Source organism: Homo sapiens, chromosome 10, assembly GCF_000001405.40.
Source record: "Homo sapiens chromosome 10, GRCh38.p14 Primary Assembly".
In the NCBI taxonomy this organism is placed as follows: domain Eukaryota; kingdom Metazoa; phylum Chordata; class Mammalia; order Primates; family Hominidae; genus Homo; species Homo sapiens.
Genome location: NC_000010.11, coordinates 80,179,605 through 80,197,853, shown reverse-complemented (window position 1 = coordinate 80,197,853; position 18,249 = coordinate 80,179,605). Strand labels below are relative to the sequence as shown.

Sequence of the window (18,249 nt, the reverse complement as noted above, 5' to 3'; positions counted from 1 at the left end):
CTCCTGGGTTCACGCCATTCTCCTGCCTCAGACTCACAAGTAGCTGGGACTACAGGCGCCCGCCACTGCGCTTTGCTAATTTTTTTTGTATTTTTAGTAGAGACGGGGTTTCACCATGTTAGCCAGGATGGTCTCGATCTCCTGACCTCGTGATCCTCCCGCCTCGGCCTCCCAAAATGCTGGGATTACAGGTGTGAGCCACCGCGCCCGGCCAGGGGTTATTTTTTTGTGCTACCTCCTCCCAACTTCCCTTCTTCAACCCCAAATATGACACCTAGGTGACTGTTTCTAGGAGAGTTTGAGGGCAGAGGCTATTTGAACCCTGAACTGAGGTGGGGGTGATGTTCGGTCTCCGTGGCTGGTAATATCCTTGAGAGATCAGAGCAGTGGTTGCCAACCCCCATTCTCTGTTGTCATCACACATAGGGAGGGGATCTGGAGAGAAACAGGGTCATAAGGCTCCTATGGAGTGGCTGGTACTTTTCTGAGTGGCTTGATTATATGGGACATTATTTGGGAGGCAGTAGTAACTTTCTTCTCTTTCCGGGGTTTAACCTTTGTATTTCTCAAGTCCATTCTCCAGCCTGAGAAGGTGTGATGGAGCCCAGAAATACGTTGAGTGGTTGGGGACCAGCCTGGTTCATAATGCACTGGCCTGGAAATCCAGAGATGTGGTTCTAGTCATTGTCCTGCCCCCAGCCAGCTCTGAGACCTCAGGCAGAGTCTTTCTGCTCTCTGGGTCTCAGCTCCCACCTCAAATAAAATAAACAGGTTGAATGAAATGATTTCATGAAGGCCCTTTCCAGCTCCAGTATTTTAGGATTCTTATGTAATCCAAATGCTAGTGCACTGGGAATTGACTTTATCTTGAAGAAGTGTCTTTCAGAACCTGCTTGCTCAAGTTCAGCCCCTTGGTGAGGCTCCGGACGCTGCCACTCTCCCAGCCTGCCTTGTCTGGAGTTTCTCCAGGCTGAGCTGCCCCAGGTGCCAGCCCTCAGAGGGGAGGTCTGAGGTGCAGCCTGGCTAATGATTAACATACGCTACAGCTATTTTAGTTCCTGGCATGTGGGTGGGGAGTTGAATGCTTAACAGCACCTGTGTAGGCTTTTTGTTTAGTGCCTGGGAAAATATGGTCAGGGTTGGTGGAGTGCTGCCCTGAGGCTGGCTGGCTGGCTTCGGTGACTTAATGGCACCTGTGACCAGCAAGGGCAGGACATTGGGGCTCTGGAGTGCACGCCCAGGGCCCCCACCCCCTTCTCAGTAGAGCTGGAGATGTTCATACTCCCACTCACATCACTTAAGGTCCTGCCTTGAGGTGGGGGAGAGAGGGGAATGTCCTAGATGTGTCCTCCCTGCCCCCAGAATTCCTGGGGCCTACGTAATAGAGGCTACCGAAACAGGTGCCACCCAGAGAGTGAAAGAAATGAGTCAGAGTCCACCGGGGTTCCTGCCAGTATTCAGTATGTGTCAAGGGCCTCACAGTGCCAGCCCTGTGGCAGGTGGTGGTGGGGGACAGGAAGAGAGGCCTGTCCTACAGCCTGTAGCACTGATGCTCTCATGGGGAGGCCTAGAAAAAAAGTGTCTGGCTCTGGCACTTGGGTGTGTGACCTTTGCATGTCAAGAGTCAGCTCAGCCTTCGTTCCCTTGCTTATAAAATGAGGATGATAATACCTATCCAATAGGAGCATTGTGGAGGTTAATGAGGTAATATATAGGGATGTAATATATGTATCTATCCTAGGAGTTAGAAAAAGGAGAGCTTATTAGAACATTAGAGAACATGGAAAACATTTTAGGACAAGTGCTGTGAGAGTTCCAAGAAGAGTGAGCATTGTGGATAGGAGATCAGGGTGGGCTTCCTGAAAGAGATATGGTATGGTTTGGCTGTGTCCCCACCCAAATCTCGAATTCCCTCGTGTTGTAGAAGAGACTTGGTGGGAGGTAACTGAATGGGGCAGGTCTTTCCTGTGCTATTCTCGTGATAGTGAATAAGTCTCACAAGATCTGATGCTTTTATAAAGGGAAATTTCCCTGCACAAACTCTCTTCTCTTGTCTGCTGCCATGTGAGACGTGCCTTTCACCTTCAGCCATGATTGTGAGGCCTCCCCAGCCACGTGGAACTGTGAGTCCATTAAACCTCTTTCTTTTGTAAATTGCCCAGTCTTGGTTATGTCTTTATCAGCAGTGTGAAAATGGACTAATACAAGGTGGAACTTCATCTGGACTCAGGGAAGGCCAGGAGACAGGAGGTCAGACCAGCTAGAGGGACCACCTAAGCAGAGGTGTCCTGAAAAGGGAAAGTGCTGAGCTGGGCTGGGCTAAGGACATGCATTTTTTGTGCTTCTCTCCATCATGCATGTCCCTGAGGTACCTTCTGTTTTCATGCTGTTCCTCAGTGGCCCAGTGTGAGTGACTCTTGGCTCCAGACTGCTTGACACAGCTTAGGATGCCAGCTGCAGAAGGGTCAGCCCATTCCCAAGTGAAGGTGTTTTCTCCTCCAGAGTGAGCTGCAGGTCCTTGAACTTCCAGTTGCATGCGGCTGACTGGGGACATTGTCACCATCTGAAGAGCAGACCTTGATAAGGGATATTTGGAAAGGTTTCCTGAGGCTTCTAGGTAGAGCAGGGGTGCTCAGCCATTTGGAGCTGGAATATACACTCTGTTAAGTCTCCCAGGCTTGAAGGGGCTGGGCTTCCAGAGTGGTTTGAACAGGCCCCGAGGACTGGCTGATGGGCATCAGGGCCTTTCCGGGAGAGGCTGGGGGACACACTGCTGCCATCACACTCTTCAGTCTTCTTCGCCTCTCTTCCTCAGCCTGTGGTGAGAGACGGGTCTGTGCCGGCCATTCATAAGGAGATGAGATGGCTCATAACACACCAACTGGAAGGGCCCTGGTAAACCTCTACTCCTGTGATCACAAATGCAGATTCCTGCAAGGACAGCCCGGCAGCTGAAGGAGGGAGGGAGGTGCGCAGCTGTTGCCAGCCCTAGCCGAGTGTCACCATGCAGAAATATGGGGCCCTTGTTGCCAGAGCTCCTGTTTTAATATTTTTGAAGGATTTAAGCCAGAGTCTCCCTTTTGCAGCCCTTTCCTCCCTCCAATGAAATAATGCTATTGAGCTCCAAAACCTTCAGGAGCCCCAGGTTCTGGGAGGCAGCATGCAAACCACTGAGGCCCTGCAGGCGCACTCATTGAAAATAGGTGAGGTAGACGAGGCTGGGAGGGCTTAGATTTGCCAAGGCCCCTCAGAGAGAAGCCAGTTTCTCAGACGCCCCTATGCTCCACTGCCAGGGAACACATTTTCTGAATTCTTTGTCTTCCCCCCCCGACTCTTCCTAGGAGTGGCTCTTAAATATTGTAGTGTGTGTTTCCCTGGAAGTGCGCTATTGTGTTTATCTCGCTAGCTAGAGGGAAAGCATGATGCAGGCCAGGACTTTATTTTTTTCTTCCCTATCCTAGGGGGTGTAGCCCAGCCCCTGGTGCCTCCATAAACCCAGGTGGGATTGCTGTGAAGCTAATGAAGTGGAAGCTTCAGGTCCCCGGACTTGTAGCACCCTAGTGAGGGGCCGTGGGAGGGGCACTAGCAGTGAGTTCACAGAGTCATATGGTTTATAACATTTGCAAAAAACTAAGATTTTTTGTATTCTTTGTCCTGAAGAGGGTTCCTAAAATTGTATAAGCTTCAGGCCCCACAAAACCTGGACCTACTGCAGATGTTGGTACCAGTCTCACAGACTGGCTGCTAGTGTTTTATTTTAACTTTCCCCTAAAAAATATATGCCTGTTTTTTCAGAAAGCAGTTGAAGAATATAGTTCACCAGGCTGGTCAACATGGCGAAACCCTGTCTCTACTAAAAATACAGAAATTAGCTGGGCGTGGTGGCGCATGCCTATAATCCCAGCTACTTGGGAGGCTGAGGCTGCAGTGAGTCGAGATTGCACCACTGCATTCCAGCCTGGGTGACAGAGCAAGAGACTTCTTCAAAAAAATAAAAAAGAAGAAGAATGTAGTAATATTCTGTCTTTTTTTTTTTTTTTTTGAGACAGAGTCTCCCTCTGTTGCCCAAGCTGGAGTGCAGTGGCACGATCTTGGCTCACTGCAGCCCCAGCCTCCCGAGTAGGTGGGAGTATAGGCATGCGCCACCACGCCAGACTACTTTCTGTATTTTTAGTAGAGACGGGGTTTTGACATGTTTGCCAGGCTGGTCTCGAACTCCTGGCCTCAAGTGATCTGCCTGCCTCAGCCTCCCAAAGTGCTGGGATTACAGATGTGAGCCATTGCGCCTGGCAGAAGTAATGTTCTCTTTCTAAAGTTAGATGATAAAGGATGCTTATTTTATTGTGCTTTATAATTCATATATATGTTGTATTTATTGCTATATTGTAAAAATATTTTATAATAATACACGAAAAAAGCCAAATATGTTGATCCAAAAGGCTTATAATGAAGCCAGCAGTCCCCTGACACATCCTTCCTCTTTCCCTTTCTCCAGAGTTAATCATTTTTAACTATTTTTAATTAATAGGCTTATATGACTGTTTCTTAATTTATCAGTTTTGAAATATGTTGACTTCCTGCTTGGTAGATTAGGAACCAATACATACATCAATATTTAATGTATGCATTATTGTGACCATAAATTGTATTGTTCGATGCTGTGCAAGTAATGTGCCGTGGTCACACATTAGGAGTACAATCCTTCCTGTCCCAATATTCCTCAGGTGGATGCTTTCCCTCCTTGGGGGCCTGATTTTCTGTGTATCTATTGTTCCAAACTGGTCTGGTTGCTCCGCAGGCCTGCTGCTCAGCTGTTGTCCCGGGACTTCTTTTTACAGTCTTCTGTGTTAGATTCTCCTATTCCTAGATCCTATATATTTTATTTTCTTTATTTTCCTTATTTATGTCTCATTTTGCTGAAATCATCCAGAAGTTCCTAAGAAAAGTGCATGGGAGGTAGATTTTGTTTTGTTTTTTGTTTTTGAAGCTTGTGTGCCTGCAAATATCTCTATTCCTCCCTAATGGATAGAAATATCCATTCCAAATATCTCTATCCAGTAGTGGATAATTTAGCTGGCTATAGAATTATAAGCTGAAAATAATTTCCTTTCTGAACACTGAACACATTATTCTGTTATCTTCTAGTTTCTAGTGTGGCTGTTGAAGTCCAGTGTCCTTCCAGTTCCCCTGAAAAGGACCCTTGTTCTTTCTTTTCTAAAGTTTTAGTATCTTCTGCCTCTTCTCTTCTCAAATTTCACAATGATTGCTTTGCTGATCTTTTTGCTTTGTGGATATAACATTTTCTCTTCCGTCTCTAAGGATATTATTGATTATATTTTTGTCCTCTATTTCTCATCATTGTCTGTTTCTTTGGTTCTCTTCTATCTCTGAGGATATTATTGATTATATTTTTGTCCTCTACTTCTCATCGTTGTCTGTTTCTTTGGTTCCTTTTCTTCTGTTTTGGTCTCTCCCTTTCTTGGTGTAGACTTTCTCAGATGTCCTGTGACCCTTTGCTGTCTATATGAAGAGGGAGACCATAAAAATCTGATTAGAGTGCATAGGTGAAATGTACAGGAGGGGCAGGATTTTATCACATCTCTTCCCCCTTCGGTGTGTTTCCTGGAAGGCAGTTATTCCCCAATATTGCAAAATTAATCTCTCCTCAGCGCTGGTCTTCCCACTGTACCTGCTGTTGCCTCGGGCAGGAAGCAGCAACCCAGGCTTGAACTCCCATGGGCTGCCCCCGTGATGGAACAAAAAGAATCATCCTAGAGAACTGGGCCTGAGTCCGCCAGCAGCTCTGAGGACAGGAAGCCTCTCTACCCACCCTGCCCTGGGGACGATGAGCTCTAGCCTGGGAGTGGGGGATTCAGCACCAGCCCTCTTAGGGTCTTGCTGTATCACCTTGGCATGCCACAACCCTCTCTCTGGTTGTCAGTGTGACCATTTGTGAAATGGGGTGAGGTGGGGTCGGTGGGAGTGAACTGAGTCGTCTCTGAGGTGCTGAGCTGGCCTCTGGCATCCGGTTGTGAGGTCCTGGCTGATGGGGTGTGATGGCCCTGCCTGTGCAAATCCGACTGGGCAAATGCTGACTGGGCATGCGTAGCCTGGCCACACGGAAGCCACTGAGGGCCCAAGTCCCCTGGTGACTCATGTTGATTGGTAATTCAAGTTAGCACACCTGTGCCGAGCCTGTTCCCGACACATGGGAGAGGCGAGCACCTGGTTCCTCCTTGTGCCGTTGGAAAGGGTTTTTTTTGTAGTCTTGGTGGTTTAATATTTCCCTTGTTGAAGAAAGCTGGCTGAGTTAGGTAGACATGTTCACAGAGCTCTTATGCAAAGAGAACAGAGGCCTTTGGAAAGAGAATGCCATAGAAGGATCTGGAAGGAAAGAGAAGGAATGGTCACTGTATATATTAGTTTTCTTTAAAGTTTTTTTTGTTGTTGTTTGTTTTTGTTTTTTGAGACAGAGTCTCACTCTGTCACCCAGGCCGGAGTGCAGTAGCACAATCTCGGCTCACTGCAACCTGTAGCTCCTGGGTTTAAGCAATTCCTGAGTAGCTGGGACTACAGGCACGTGCCACCATGCCTGGCTAATTTTTGAATTTTAATTTTATTTTATTTTGAGACAGAGGTTTGCTCTTTTTGCCCAGGCTGGAGTGCAATGGCATGATCTCGGCTCACTGCAGCCTCCACCTCCCGGGTTCAAGTAATTCTCCTGCCTCAGCCTCTCGAGTAGCTGGGATTGCAGGTGCATGCCACCACACCCAGCTAATTTTGTATTTTTAGTAGAGATGGGGTTTTGCCATGTTGGCCAGGCTGGTCTCAAGCTCCTGACCTCAGGTGATCCGCCTGCCTCAGCCTCCCAGAGTGCTTGGATTATAGGCATGAGTCTCTGTGCCTGGCCAATTTTTGTATTTTTAGTAGAGACAGGGTCTCACTATGTTGCCCAGGCTGGTCTCAAACTCCTGGCCTCATGCAGTCCGCCCACCTTGGCCTTCCAAAGTGCTGGGGTTACAGGCGTGAGCCACCGTGCCTGGCCAATAGTTTTCTTTAAAAATTTTTTGGCCAGGCGTGGTGGCTCACGCCTGTAACCCCAGCACTTTGGGAGGCCAAGGCAGGCGGATCACGAGGTCAGGAGATCGAGACCATCTTGGCTGACATGGTGAAACCCTGTCTCTACTAAAAATACAAAAAACTAGCTGGGCGCGGTGGCGGGCGCCTGTGATCCCAGCTACTCAGGAGGCTGAGGCGGGAGAACGGCATGAACTCAGGAGGTGGAGCTTGCAGTGAGCCAAGATAGGGCTACTGCAGTCCGGCCTGGGCAAAAGAGCGAGACTCCGTCTCAAAAAAAAAAAAAAAAAAATTTATTGTAAATTAACATTTATAATTATGTAAATTTATGGAGTACAAAGTGATGTTATAATCTATGAATACAATGTGAAATAAAGCAAACTAGTTAATATATCCATCACCTCAAATAGTTTTCAATAATTAGTTTTCAATTACTGCTGTAACAAATTACCACAAACTTGTGGCTTAAAACCATGCAACTCTTTTTGTGGTAAAAATATACACAACGTAAAATTTACCATTTTACCCACTGTTAGGTGTGCAGTTCAGTGGTGTTAAATACATTCACTTCGTTGTGCAACAGTCATTACGATGCATCTCCAGAAGGTTCTCATCTTCCCAAACTGACTCTGTACTCAGGAAATGTAAACTCCCCATTCCCTCTTACCTGAGCCCTGGCCAACAGCAGTCTACTTTCTGTCCTTAGGAATTTGACTCCTTTGGAGACTTCATATAGGTGGAATCAGAAGTATTTGTTCTTTTGTGCCTGGCTTGTTTCATTTAGCATAATGTGTTGAAGATTTATCCACATTGTAGCATATGTCAGTTTTCTTCTGTTTTGAGGCTGAATGATATTCTCTTTTTATGTGGAGATCTTGTTTTGTTTATCCATTCATCCATCAATGGGCACTTGAGTTGTTTCCACCTTTTGACTACTGTGAATGAGGCTGCTATGAACATGGGTATACAAATGTCTGTTGGAGTCCCTGCTTTCATTTCCTTTAGGTATATAGGTTGAGTATCCCAAATCTGAAATGTTCCAAAGTCCGAAACTTTGTGAGCTCCAACATGACGCTCAAAGGAAGTGCTCATTGAAGCATTTTGGATTTTGGATTTTTGGATTTTGGATACACAATGGTAAGTATGATGCCAGTATTCCAAAATCTGAAGTCATCTGGTCTGAAGACCACAATGTCTGAAACATTGCTGATCCCACACATTTTGAATGAGAGGTACTCGGCCTGTATGCCCAGGAGTGAGATTGCTGGATCGTATGGTAGTTCTATGTTTAATTTTTTGAGGAATCTCCATACTGTTTTCCATAGTGGCTGCACTATTTTACCACATGGTTTTTTTATCTTTACAGTTTTATCTCAGGGTCTTTTGGATCTCATGGTGCTAAAATGAAGGTGTTGGCAGGGTTGTGTCTTTGTCTGGTGGCCCTAGAGGTGAATGCTTCCTTGCCCTTTCCAGCTTTAGAGGCCATTTGAGTTCCGTGGCACTTGGCCCTTTTCCTCCATGGGTGGAATCCCTCTCATGCTTGGACTCTGTCCTTCTTATTCTTCCTTTTCATCCTTAACCCAGCAACAAAGGCTCTCTGCTTTGAAGGACGCTTCTCACTGGATTGGGCCCACCCGGATAATCTAGGCTAGTCTCCCCATTTCATGGCGGGTAACCCTAATCACCTCAGGACAGTCCCTTTTGCCACCTAAAGTAACGCATTCACAGGTACCGGGGATGTCTTTGAGGGACCTAATCAGAGAAGCTGATGGTAGCTGAGTTTCAGGCTCTGAAAAGCCCTCCCTCTACCCCTCCCCTTACCAGCATTTTCCTGAGGCCCCGGGACCCTAAGGGTTGGCTGGACACTCCCCTCACTGTGTGGGCTGGGCTGGTCCCCTGGCGGGAGCCTGACACCTGAGTTTAGTGTGTGCCCAGGATCTGTGACCCTTTTCTCCCTCTCGAAATGTCAGAGCCTGGCTTCTTTGGCCACTAGGCGTGTTGGTCACAGAGTGAAGATAACTGTGTCCTGCTTTACAAAGCGCGTTCCTGTTCTTTTTACTTTTAGTCCTCATAGTAATCCAAGGTAGGTGGGGTACATCAGGTCTTTGCAGATAGAATGGAGGTTCGGAGAGGTTAAGTTGCCCAGGGGGGTCACACAGCAAGCAGTTGCGTTAGGAACCAGACCTTGGCTCCAGGCTAATGCCTCCTAGGGACTAAGTTAAAATTAACTGAGCACCTGCTGTGTGCTAATACCTGTTGTAGTGCTATATATATATATATATATATATATATATATGTGAGAATACTACATTCTCACAGCTGTGTAATGAGATGGATGCATTTTTCCTCTTTTCACAGGTGAGGAGAAAGGCTCAGAGTGGTCAATCTATATATCCAGGGTCACACAGCTAACAAGAGGTAGAGCTAGAATGGAATCATTGTCACTGGACTCCAAACCCTGTGTACCATCCCAGTGGCCTAGCAGCAGTGTTAGAAGATGATATCAGAGCTGTGTGGGCTGCGGTAAAACTCATGCAGCAGAATTGAGAAGTCCCTTGTGACTGTCCTGTGATGTTTGGGGCCCTTGACGGGGGAGTGTGGGCCGTGAAAAGATGGGGGAGCTGGTTTAGAGTGTGTGAGAGAGAGTAATTGGGGGTGGTAGAAGCCTGCCAAGAATCTAGGGGTAGACATTGTGAAAGCCAATGTCAGTGAGGCTCAGGCCCAGTGTCTTGGAGCTGCAGAGCTTCCCTTTACCTCCCACTGCAAAATGAGGGAAGGGTTTAGAGAAGTTTCTGCTTCCTTCCGGCAGAGCTGCTGCAAGGGTTGTCTTGTAGATAGTAACTACCACAGGACTTGGGGTGTGGCACATCCCTGTGGGCCCAGGAGATCTGGGAGAAGCTGGGTTGGACTTTGCAGTAACTGGAGTGACCTGACAGCTAAGAGGGGTGGGATTGACAGGGAAGCCTCAGCCACCCTGGGACTTGTGCCCAATTGACATCAGCTCACTACCATTGTTTTGCTGGTCCCTCCTAGGCGGGCCCTGGCAGAAGCTCCCTCTGCTCAGGTGGTGTAACTGGCGGTGGCTTCCCCTTGCGGAAGTGGGTAAACAAAGACAGAGACCTGTGTCTCCTCCCCGCCCCTGCCACCTGCACTTATAAACACAACCCACTGTTTCCCTTTTTGGGAGTGTGTGAGAGAGAGAGAGAGTGTGTGTGTGTGTGTGTGTGTGTGCACGCGCGCACATGCGCGTGCATCCTTAGGTTCCGTCTAAATCCGTTCAAGCTGCTGTAATAAAATATCATAGACCGGGTGGCTTATAAACAACAGAAGTACATTGCTCACAGTTCTGGAGGCTGGAAGTTGAAGATGAAGGTGCCAGCAGACTCAGTGTCTGGTGAGGGCCCACTTTCTGGTTCACAAATAGGATAGCACCTTCTCCCTGTGTCCCCACATGGTGGAAAGGGTTGGGCCCTCTGGGATCTCTTTTATAAGGCCATGAATCCCATTCATGAGGACTCCAACCTCATAACCTTCCAGAGGCCCCGCCTCCAAATGTCATCACACTGGGAGTTGGGATTTCAATAAATGAATTTTGGGGAGACAGAAGTATTCAAACTATAGCAGGTCCTGGCCACACTTTGGAGTCAGGACTTGGGTGGGGGGCTTTTTCTGTCACTGCCACTGTGTCTGTTGCAAGAACCTCAGCGTCCTCCAGGACCTGAGTGCCCATCACGTGCTGGCCTGCGAGGCAGCCAGATATTAGCACTGTGTCTCTGTCACTTTCTTCCTCTGCTGCCCACTTTCCACTCCTCAGAAATTCTGAATTGGACTCAGCATTTGACTGAGCATTGGCTCTTATGTGAGCCTGTTTGGTGTGGGCAGGCCTCAGAGGTGACTCTGCCCACAAAGAGGAGTGGCCTGGCTTCCAGGGAAGCCTGCCATGGAGGAGCGTGACGGAGAGATCTGCGTGTGACGCTGTGTGCTCTCGGTCTGCGTTGTATGGAAAGTGAGTTCCTCCTCACTTGCCCCCATCCCCCTTCTCAGCACCTGGTCTGGAGAGGCAGGCAGGAGGAGAGAAGATGGCCCCATCCATGCCACACCTCAGTGAAAATTCTGAGGACAGGCTCTGGTGCCCGCAGGGTTGGAGCTTCATGCAGGCTGAGGCCCTGCCTCTGCGGGTCCCTCTCCCAGGCAGGTTTACTCTCCGAGGGTCTTTCATATCTCCCTGCCCGGTGGCCTCCCTCCACCATCAGTCTTGCCTTCGCTGTCCCCTCTACTCTTGGAGTGGAGCAGGCCCCCATACACCCAGGCACGTGGAGGGGATGGAAAGAAAACAGCGCCAATTTCCTGTTGGTGCTTTCTCTATTGGGAGGCTGGAAAATCCAACACAGCCATGCCAGTGTGCTCCCCACTCCCATCCTCCACCTGTCACACTGCCCTGACCCTCCCCAGTTCCGTGTTTCTCTCCTACCCCCCTCCTTCCCCCTTCAGTCCCCACAGTTCTCATCCTGGGCATTATCAAATAGCCCAGGGTCCTCTCTTTCTTATTTTGTTTTGGAGAAACAGGATGTCATGATATGTTACATGATATAATGGGAACAAACTTGGTATTAAACTGTTAATATCCCCATTTTACAGATGGGGAAAACTGAGGTGCAGAAAGGTCTCGTAAACTGTCAAGATCGCGTTGCTGGTGGGGAGCAGGACTAGGATGTGAACCTGGGTAGTCTGGCTTCAGAGTCTGTGTTCTTCTCACCATCCTCCATTGCCTTTAATGAAGTACTTTAATGAAGTACCTTTAATGAAGTATGTAATGAAGTTTCATACAGTGAAACCGGACTTAGAAGCCAGGTATCCTGATTCTGAATTCCATGCTATTTCATCATACCAGTGTTTCTAAAGCTCTGTTCTTAAAATACTAGTCCCTGGGGCCAGTGGGCTCTGTGAGGAAGTATAGTGTAGTGGTAAAGTCTGGGCTTTGGAAGCAGACTGCCTGGCTCAGCCATTCAATAGCTATAACCTTGAGCAAGTTACACAGCCTCTCTGTCCCTCAGTCTTCATTTCTGATATGAGAAGGATAATTTTAGTATTTGCCTCATAGGGTTGTTATAAAGTTCAGTTCCGTGTGAAGCACTTAACAGTGCCTGGCACATAGTAAGCATTTAATAAATGGTAACTACTATTATGGCCTAATTAGTTTGGGAAATTTGAGGATAGAGTTAAGCAGGCACTTTTGTTACAGGATTTATCAGAGCTTTTATTACGCTGTTGCAAATTGGCAGTTTCCTGGAAAGGGGATGTGTAGTTATAGTACATAACTATATGTAGTAAGCATTTTCTAAACTTTTCGGGCAACTAATCTCTTGCTCTTGTCTGCCTGTCTCGCTCCTTAAACTGCGTGCCTTCTAACTTCACAACTTGTAAGATATGAAGCTGGTGTCAGGGAACACATTCCGGGCAGCACTGAGCTGCCCATCACTCTATCTGCTTCTAAGTGAGGCTGAGCTAGGCCTGGGCATCCCGGTTAGATCTGAGCAAGACTTCTGGGGGCAGTAGATGGTAGGTGTTCAGAAGCAAACAGACTTATAGTGAAAATGAACAAGCTGTCCATCAGTTGACTGTCATGCACCAGGTGGGTTCTGCTCTACAGAAGGCCAAAATGCATATTGTGGGAGTGTGATGTCCTTGCTGAGATCCTTGGATTTATAAGTGTTTATTATGCTGTTCCTTGCCCTGCAGGCCAAATACATCCTATTTGATACTTAAATAATCTCAGGAGCCAATGAAGGAAGAGGTTATAAAGGAGAAAATTGACTAACTGGCAAAGCAGAGGCCAGTCCCCAGAACTCCATCCATTCTTCCACTCAAGCTGCATTTATGAGGTGCACATTCAGCCAGATGCTGGGGTAACAGTGGTAAACAAGGCTGTGGGACTGCATTTTTGACTCTGGAAAACATTTGCAGATGGTTGGCAGCATCACCACTAGGTAGAGCTCAGTGGTCCTGGAAGAGTCCTGGGGAGGTTGGTTTTCTGGCCCTCTTGTATTGACAAGTGCCCCCTCAAGCATTCCAAGCTCATACTCTTCCTAAGGTGAATCAGCACCTGAGTCTTTTGCTGATGTAGAAGCCTGATCTCAACTTAGAGTCCCAGCTGTATTATAGTTATATAAACACACTGTCTGTCTGTCTGTCTCTCTCTCTCGTATTAGTTATATAAACACACTCTCTGTCTCTCTCTCACACACACACACGGTCCCTGACTCAAGATGGTTGAACTTACAGTTTTTCAACTTTATGATGGGGTTACATCACTTTCAGAAGGGATGTAACCAGCTCCTCCACTTTTGATGGGGTTACAATGAGGCTACGGTTTTTATTGAGTGCATGTCACTCTTGCACCATCATAAAGTTGAAAAATCATAAGTCGAACCATCATAAGTTGGGGACTGCTGTGTTGCCAGCATTAAATGCATTTTCAACTCATGATGGCTTTATTTGGATGTAACCCTATCATAAGTCAAGGAGCATCTGTATGTATTTATATTTAAAGTTCCTAACATTTAGAGATATGAACAGTTACAGATGAAATAATATATGATGTCTGGGATTTGCTTCAAAACAATACAGGGGTGTGGGTGGGGTTCGGGATGAATCAAGATGGGCCTTGAGGTGATAATTGTTGAAGCTGAGGGATGATGGTTTATTAAACTGTTCTGTTTTATATATGTGCTCCATAACAAAACTTTGTGAAAAAAGTCGACCATTATTAATCACCGCCTCTGTGATTAATGGATTAATTAGGATTGTGGCTCACTCCATGGAATTCCACAGCCACAGTTAGGTACATGGTCCCCTGGGGCCAGCTCCTGCCACTGAAGGGGTGTGTGGGGCAGAGCTTGGGCTCTATCTGCCTTCCCTCGTCTTCATAGTTATGGGGGAACTGTGAGCTGATGCACTGAGGGTTTCTGGAACCTTCTGGCTGTGAGGAGTGGCCTTGGCAGACCCTTGTTTAAAGCATGCTTATTGCACTGTCTCCTTTTGCCCTTGGAGGAGGGGTCTTCAAGTAGGTTGCCAAGGGCAGGGCCCACTGGGACCACCAGTGAAGCCAGCTCAGCTTGGACAGAAGTGGCACACGTTTTGCAATGCAGCACTGTGAGGGGATGTCAGGTTTTGTCGTCAGCTGCCTGCAGGCCAAGCTCTACCATGGACCCTCTCCGCCACACCCGTGTGATGTGAGCAAGCCATGTCCCTGGTGTATTTTAGCTGCAAAGCTGAGGAAGTTAGAACATGATCCCTTCCAATGTGGACATTTTGTGAGTCTGTAAGTCTAGGATTTGGGGTGAAAGCTGAAAGAGGCCCCCTTCAGAAATCCTGAGATCCCAGAGGAAGGAAGGACCTCAAAAAGGGTTGCCCCTGGTTTTGCCCATGGGTCAAGTGAGGTCTGGGAGAGGAGGCCTGGCCTCAGGTTGCTGGCTGAGATCCTTTTCTGGCTGAGATCCTTGGAACAGGACTACCGTAGTAGACGTTTCTGCCTCGTCTTAGACCTTCCATCTTGAGTTCTGGGCTCCAGGCCCTTGTCTGCACCTTGCTCTAGCCTGGTGCCTCCCTCTCTCCTGCCCAGTGACCTGGGACGAGTGCCTAGCCACTCACAGGGCACTGTGTGGAGGTCGTGAGCCACTCACATCAGCTCAGGGCTAAGTAAGTCTTCATTTCCCCAGCCCATGCCAGGAGGGGCACCAGGTCGGAATGTGAACTAAGAAGGAAAACTCCAAGCAAAACTCTCAACACTTCACCCTGCGACCAGATGTGTGTTTTTTTTCCCCACACTGACCAATTCTCTGACTCTAACTGGGTGTCCTATAATGCAGCTCAATTCTGACCCTAACTGGAGTCACTGCAGACCCTATAGGTTAAAGGGCTCAGTCCCACAAGACTGCCAGATATATATTTCTTATATCACATTATCACCTGAGACATTACTTAACCAGAGCCGAGCCTTCTCCCGGAGTGAAGAGAGTTTGCAGATGCGTCAGTTTCTTTCCTCTTTTAAAAAAATTATGTACATATATGGGGAATGGGAGGCCAAGGGAGGGAGAGCATTAGGACAAATACCTAATGCATGCGGGGTTCAAAACCTAGGTAACAGGTTGATAGGTGCAGCAAACCACCATGGCACATGTATAACTATGTAACAAACCTGCATGTTCTGCACATGTATCCCAGAACTTAAAGCCAAAACAAAATGTACATATATCTGAGCATGTATAAACACATATGCATATACATTTATATATTTATGTAAATATATATACATGTATTATACATTTCTGTGTGTTTTAAACTGTACGTTGAAAACTGCTTGGTGGTGACCTTTGTGTACAAGGATAGAGGGAAGAATGCTTGCTTTTCATTTTGTGTGTTTCTATTCTGTTTGAATTTCCCTACAGTGTGCTTGTATTCCTTTTATTTGTTAAATAAAATTTATTTTTTAGAGTGGTTATAGATTTACAGCAAAATTAAGTGGAAACCACAGAGTTTCCCTGTCCCCCTGCCCCCACACTTGCACCCCCCGCCATTAGCACTCCCACCACAGTGGTATATTGTTACAATCAGGGAAGCAACATCGATCCACCTATTCATTCTTTCCTCCCCTGACCTCTGGCAACTACTCATCTTTTTGCTGTCACCATAGTTGCTTTCTCCAGAATATCGTAGAGTTAGAATTATACAGTGTGTAACCTTGGGTGCTTCCAAATTGTTGGCCATTATGAATAACACTACTGTGAATGTCCATGAGCAGGTTTTGTGTGCGGCAGAAGTTTTCAACTTATTTGGGTAAATACCAAGAGCATGATTGCTGGATCATTGGTAAAACTATGTTTAGTTTTGTAAGAAACCACCAAACTGTCTTCCAAAGTGCCTATACCGCTTTACATCCCCACCAGCGATGAATGAAAGTTCCCGTTGCTCTGTATCCTCACCAGCATTTGGTGTTATCAGTGTTTTGGATTTTGGCCATTCTAATAGGTGTATAGTAGTATCTTATTGTTTTCATTTGCAATTTATTAATGACATGTTGAGCGTCTTTTCATATGCTTATTTGCCACCTTATATCCTCTTTGGTGAAGTGTCTGTTCAGGTCTTTTGCCTATTTTTTAAATCGTAAGGTTTTCTTGTTGAGATTTAAGAGTTCTTTGTATATTTTGGATAATAGTCCCTTTATCAGATATGTCTTTTGCATTTATTTTCTCCCATTCTATGGCTTGTTTTTCCTTCCTTTCATTTTATTTTATTTATTTATTTTTTATTTTTTTGAGACAGGGTTTCACTTCCATCGCCCAGGCTGGAGTGCAATGGCGTGATCTGGGCTCACTGCAACCTCCACCTCCCAGGCTCAAATGATTCTCCTGCCTCAGCCTCCTGAGTAGAGTAGCTGGGACCACAGTCGCATGCCATGGTGCTCGGCTAATTTTTTTGTATTTTATTTTTGTAACGACAGGGTCTCATTATGTTGCCCAGGCTGGTGTCAAACTTCTGAGCTCAAATGATCTGCCTGCGTCAGCCTCCCAAAGTGCTGGGATTATAGGCATGGGCCACTGTGCCTGGCCTCATCTTGTCATTTTAAAGAATATATCAGCAGGGATTATTGGACCTGCCTGGTTTAAACTATTGTCTTAGTTAATTTTGTGCTGCTCTAACAAAATATCACAGACTGAGTAATTTATAAGCAATAGTAGCTTATTTGGCTCACAGTTCTGGAGGCTGAGAAGATCGTGAGGCTGCATCTGGCAAGGGCCTTCTTGCTGCTTCATAACATGGCAGAAGACATCATGCGGGTAAGAGAGAGCATGTTATACTTTTGTAACAAACACACTGGTGGTAAGGAGCCCACTTCCTCCATAACACATTAATCCATTCGTGAGGGTAGAGCCTCTTAAAAGTACCGCCTCTCAGAACTGTTGTATTGACCATTAAGTTTGCAGCACATGAACTTTGGGGGATACATTTAAACAATAGCAATGATATATTTAAATTTTATGGATACAACCTTATGGGGAAAGTATTTTAAAAAATAAATTGTGTGTGTGTGTGTAAAAACAGGTTAAGGATCTAATGTTAAAAAAAAAAAAAACTAATATACAAATCAATATTCCAGCCACCAGACTGGGGAAGGCCAGTGGAAAATCACTCCATGAAAGCATCCACTGTAGTCCCGGTCTGCTTGGTTTGCTGTTAGGCCCTGAGGGGCAGGGGGTGTCACTGCTGTGTGGCTTCTGGCCCGAGATGATGTTTCTAGGCCCTTGCCTCTCAGCATTAACCTGGTGTAGGCTCTGTTCCCAAATGAGCCCTGTGTTGTCTTTCTGGGGAGGACAGTCCAGAGTCCCAGGCATGGCACTGACACCATCCACCCCTCCTTTCCCTTCTGTATCCCTGAAGTCAGGCAGGACACCAGCAAATGTGCATGGCCTAGCCTTGCTGGTGGCTGGAGCCCATATCTCCACCTCCAATTGTTGGGTAGAGACACAGCAAGGCTTCCCTTTTGGTAGGGGGATGACTGAGTCGGGGCAGTGAGGCTCTTCTTGCTCTGGCAGTTGCCTCCTGTCCCAGTGTAGCATTTCTAGATTCCTGTGTTAGGGGACTCCAGCTAGTACCCTTTTAGAGCCTGTGGAGTTGAATGGTACACTTACGTACACGTAACATGGCTTTAGGGAACAGGCCATTTTGCAGCCACTGAGAAGCACCCCCAGATAGCTGCTCTATGCTTTTGGCATTCACCAGACGCTTTGAGGCTGGCTTCTGATGCAGTGCTGTCATGCCAGACTCCTGTCAACTTTAATAGGGATGGCACCATGTTTGAGAGGCCGAAGAAGAGACCCAGAGCCAACGAACAAGGCATAGGGCTTATTGAGGGGACTTACATATGGGGCGGTCCAGTGGCAGCAGGCTGGATGGAAGGACCACTACTATTTGTAAAAAGCATGCAGTTTGTATAGCATTTTAATTTAGCATCCTCCTTCCTAACCACCTCCACCTGGCAACCTTCATTTAACGCAGAACAAAGGGCCTTGATCTCCTGTATGGCCATGGAATGGCTTAGGGGTTCTGATGTTCCTTATAGATAAGGAATGGATCTCCAGGTTGGCCACAGTTCCTCAGCTCAGAACTCTGAAC

General features: G+C 46.9%; 1 protein-coding gene across 10 annotated transcripts in view, besides 5 other annotated features; it reads left to right on the top strand.

Annotated features, from left to right (window-relative positions):
- ANXA11 (annexin A11) overlaps window positions 1-18,249 on the top strand; it is a 54,920-nt gene that overhangs the window by 7,955 nt on the left and 28,716 nt on the right. For 2 of the 10 annotated variants that reach the window (NM_001278408.2, XM_047425141.1), the window contains one exon: window positions 16,399-16,913. The exons of 7 other annotated variants lie outside the window; for them this stretch is intronic. The gene's annotated coding sequence lies outside the window, so the exon portion shown is untranslated. Of the gene's footprint in view, window positions 1-16,398; window positions 16,914-18,249 lie in introns of those variants that run through there. One more of the 10 variants, NM_145869.2, reaches the window with a different exon arrangement.
- Window positions 894-2,093: an enhancer, noted in NCBI's record as "P300/CBP strongly-dependent group 1 enhancer chr10:81955517-81956716 (GRCh37/hg19 assembly coordinates)". NCBI's record gives its function as "activates an origin of replication core promoter dependent on BRD2, BRD4, P300/CBP, MED14 and CDK7 cofactors, with strong dependence on P300/CBP, by STARR-seq in HCT116 cells {active_cell/tissue: HCT116}" and the evidence as "EXISTENCE:reporter gene assay evidence [ECO:0000049][PMID:35650434]".
- Window positions 2,142-2,817: an enhancer, noted in NCBI's record as "H3K4me1 hESC enhancer chr10:81954793-81955468 (GRCh37/hg19 assembly coordinates)". NCBI's record gives its function as "activates a minimal SCP1, AML or CMV promoter by ChIP-STARR-seq in naive H9 embryonic stem cells {active_cell/tissue: H9 hESC(naive)}" and the evidence as "EXISTENCE:reporter gene assay evidence [ECO:0000049][PMID:30033119]".
- Window positions 2,818-3,494: an enhancer, noted in NCBI's record as "H3K4me1 hESC enhancer chr10:81954116-81954792 (GRCh37/hg19 assembly coordinates)". NCBI's record gives its function as "activates a minimal SCP1, AML or CMV promoter by ChIP-STARR-seq in naive H9 embryonic stem cells {active_cell/tissue: H9 hESC(naive)}" and the evidence as "EXISTENCE:reporter gene assay evidence [ECO:0000049][PMID:30033119]".
- Window positions 9,470-9,569: an enhancer, noted in NCBI's record as "active region_3649". NCBI's record gives its function as "activates an Ori minimal core promoter by ATAC-STARR-seq in GM12878 lymphoblastoid cells {active_cell/tissue: GM12878}" and the evidence as "EXISTENCE:reporter gene assay evidence [ECO:0000049][PMID:35858748]".
- Window positions 11,210-11,710: an enhancer, noted in NCBI's record as "H3K27ac-H3K4me1 hESC enhancer chr10:81945900-81946400 (GRCh37/hg19 assembly coordinates)". NCBI's record gives its function as "activates a minimal SCP1, AML or CMV promoter by ChIP-STARR-seq in naive H9 embryonic stem cells {active_cell/tissue: H9 hESC(naive)}" and the evidence as "EXISTENCE:reporter gene assay evidence [ECO:0000049][PMID:30033119]".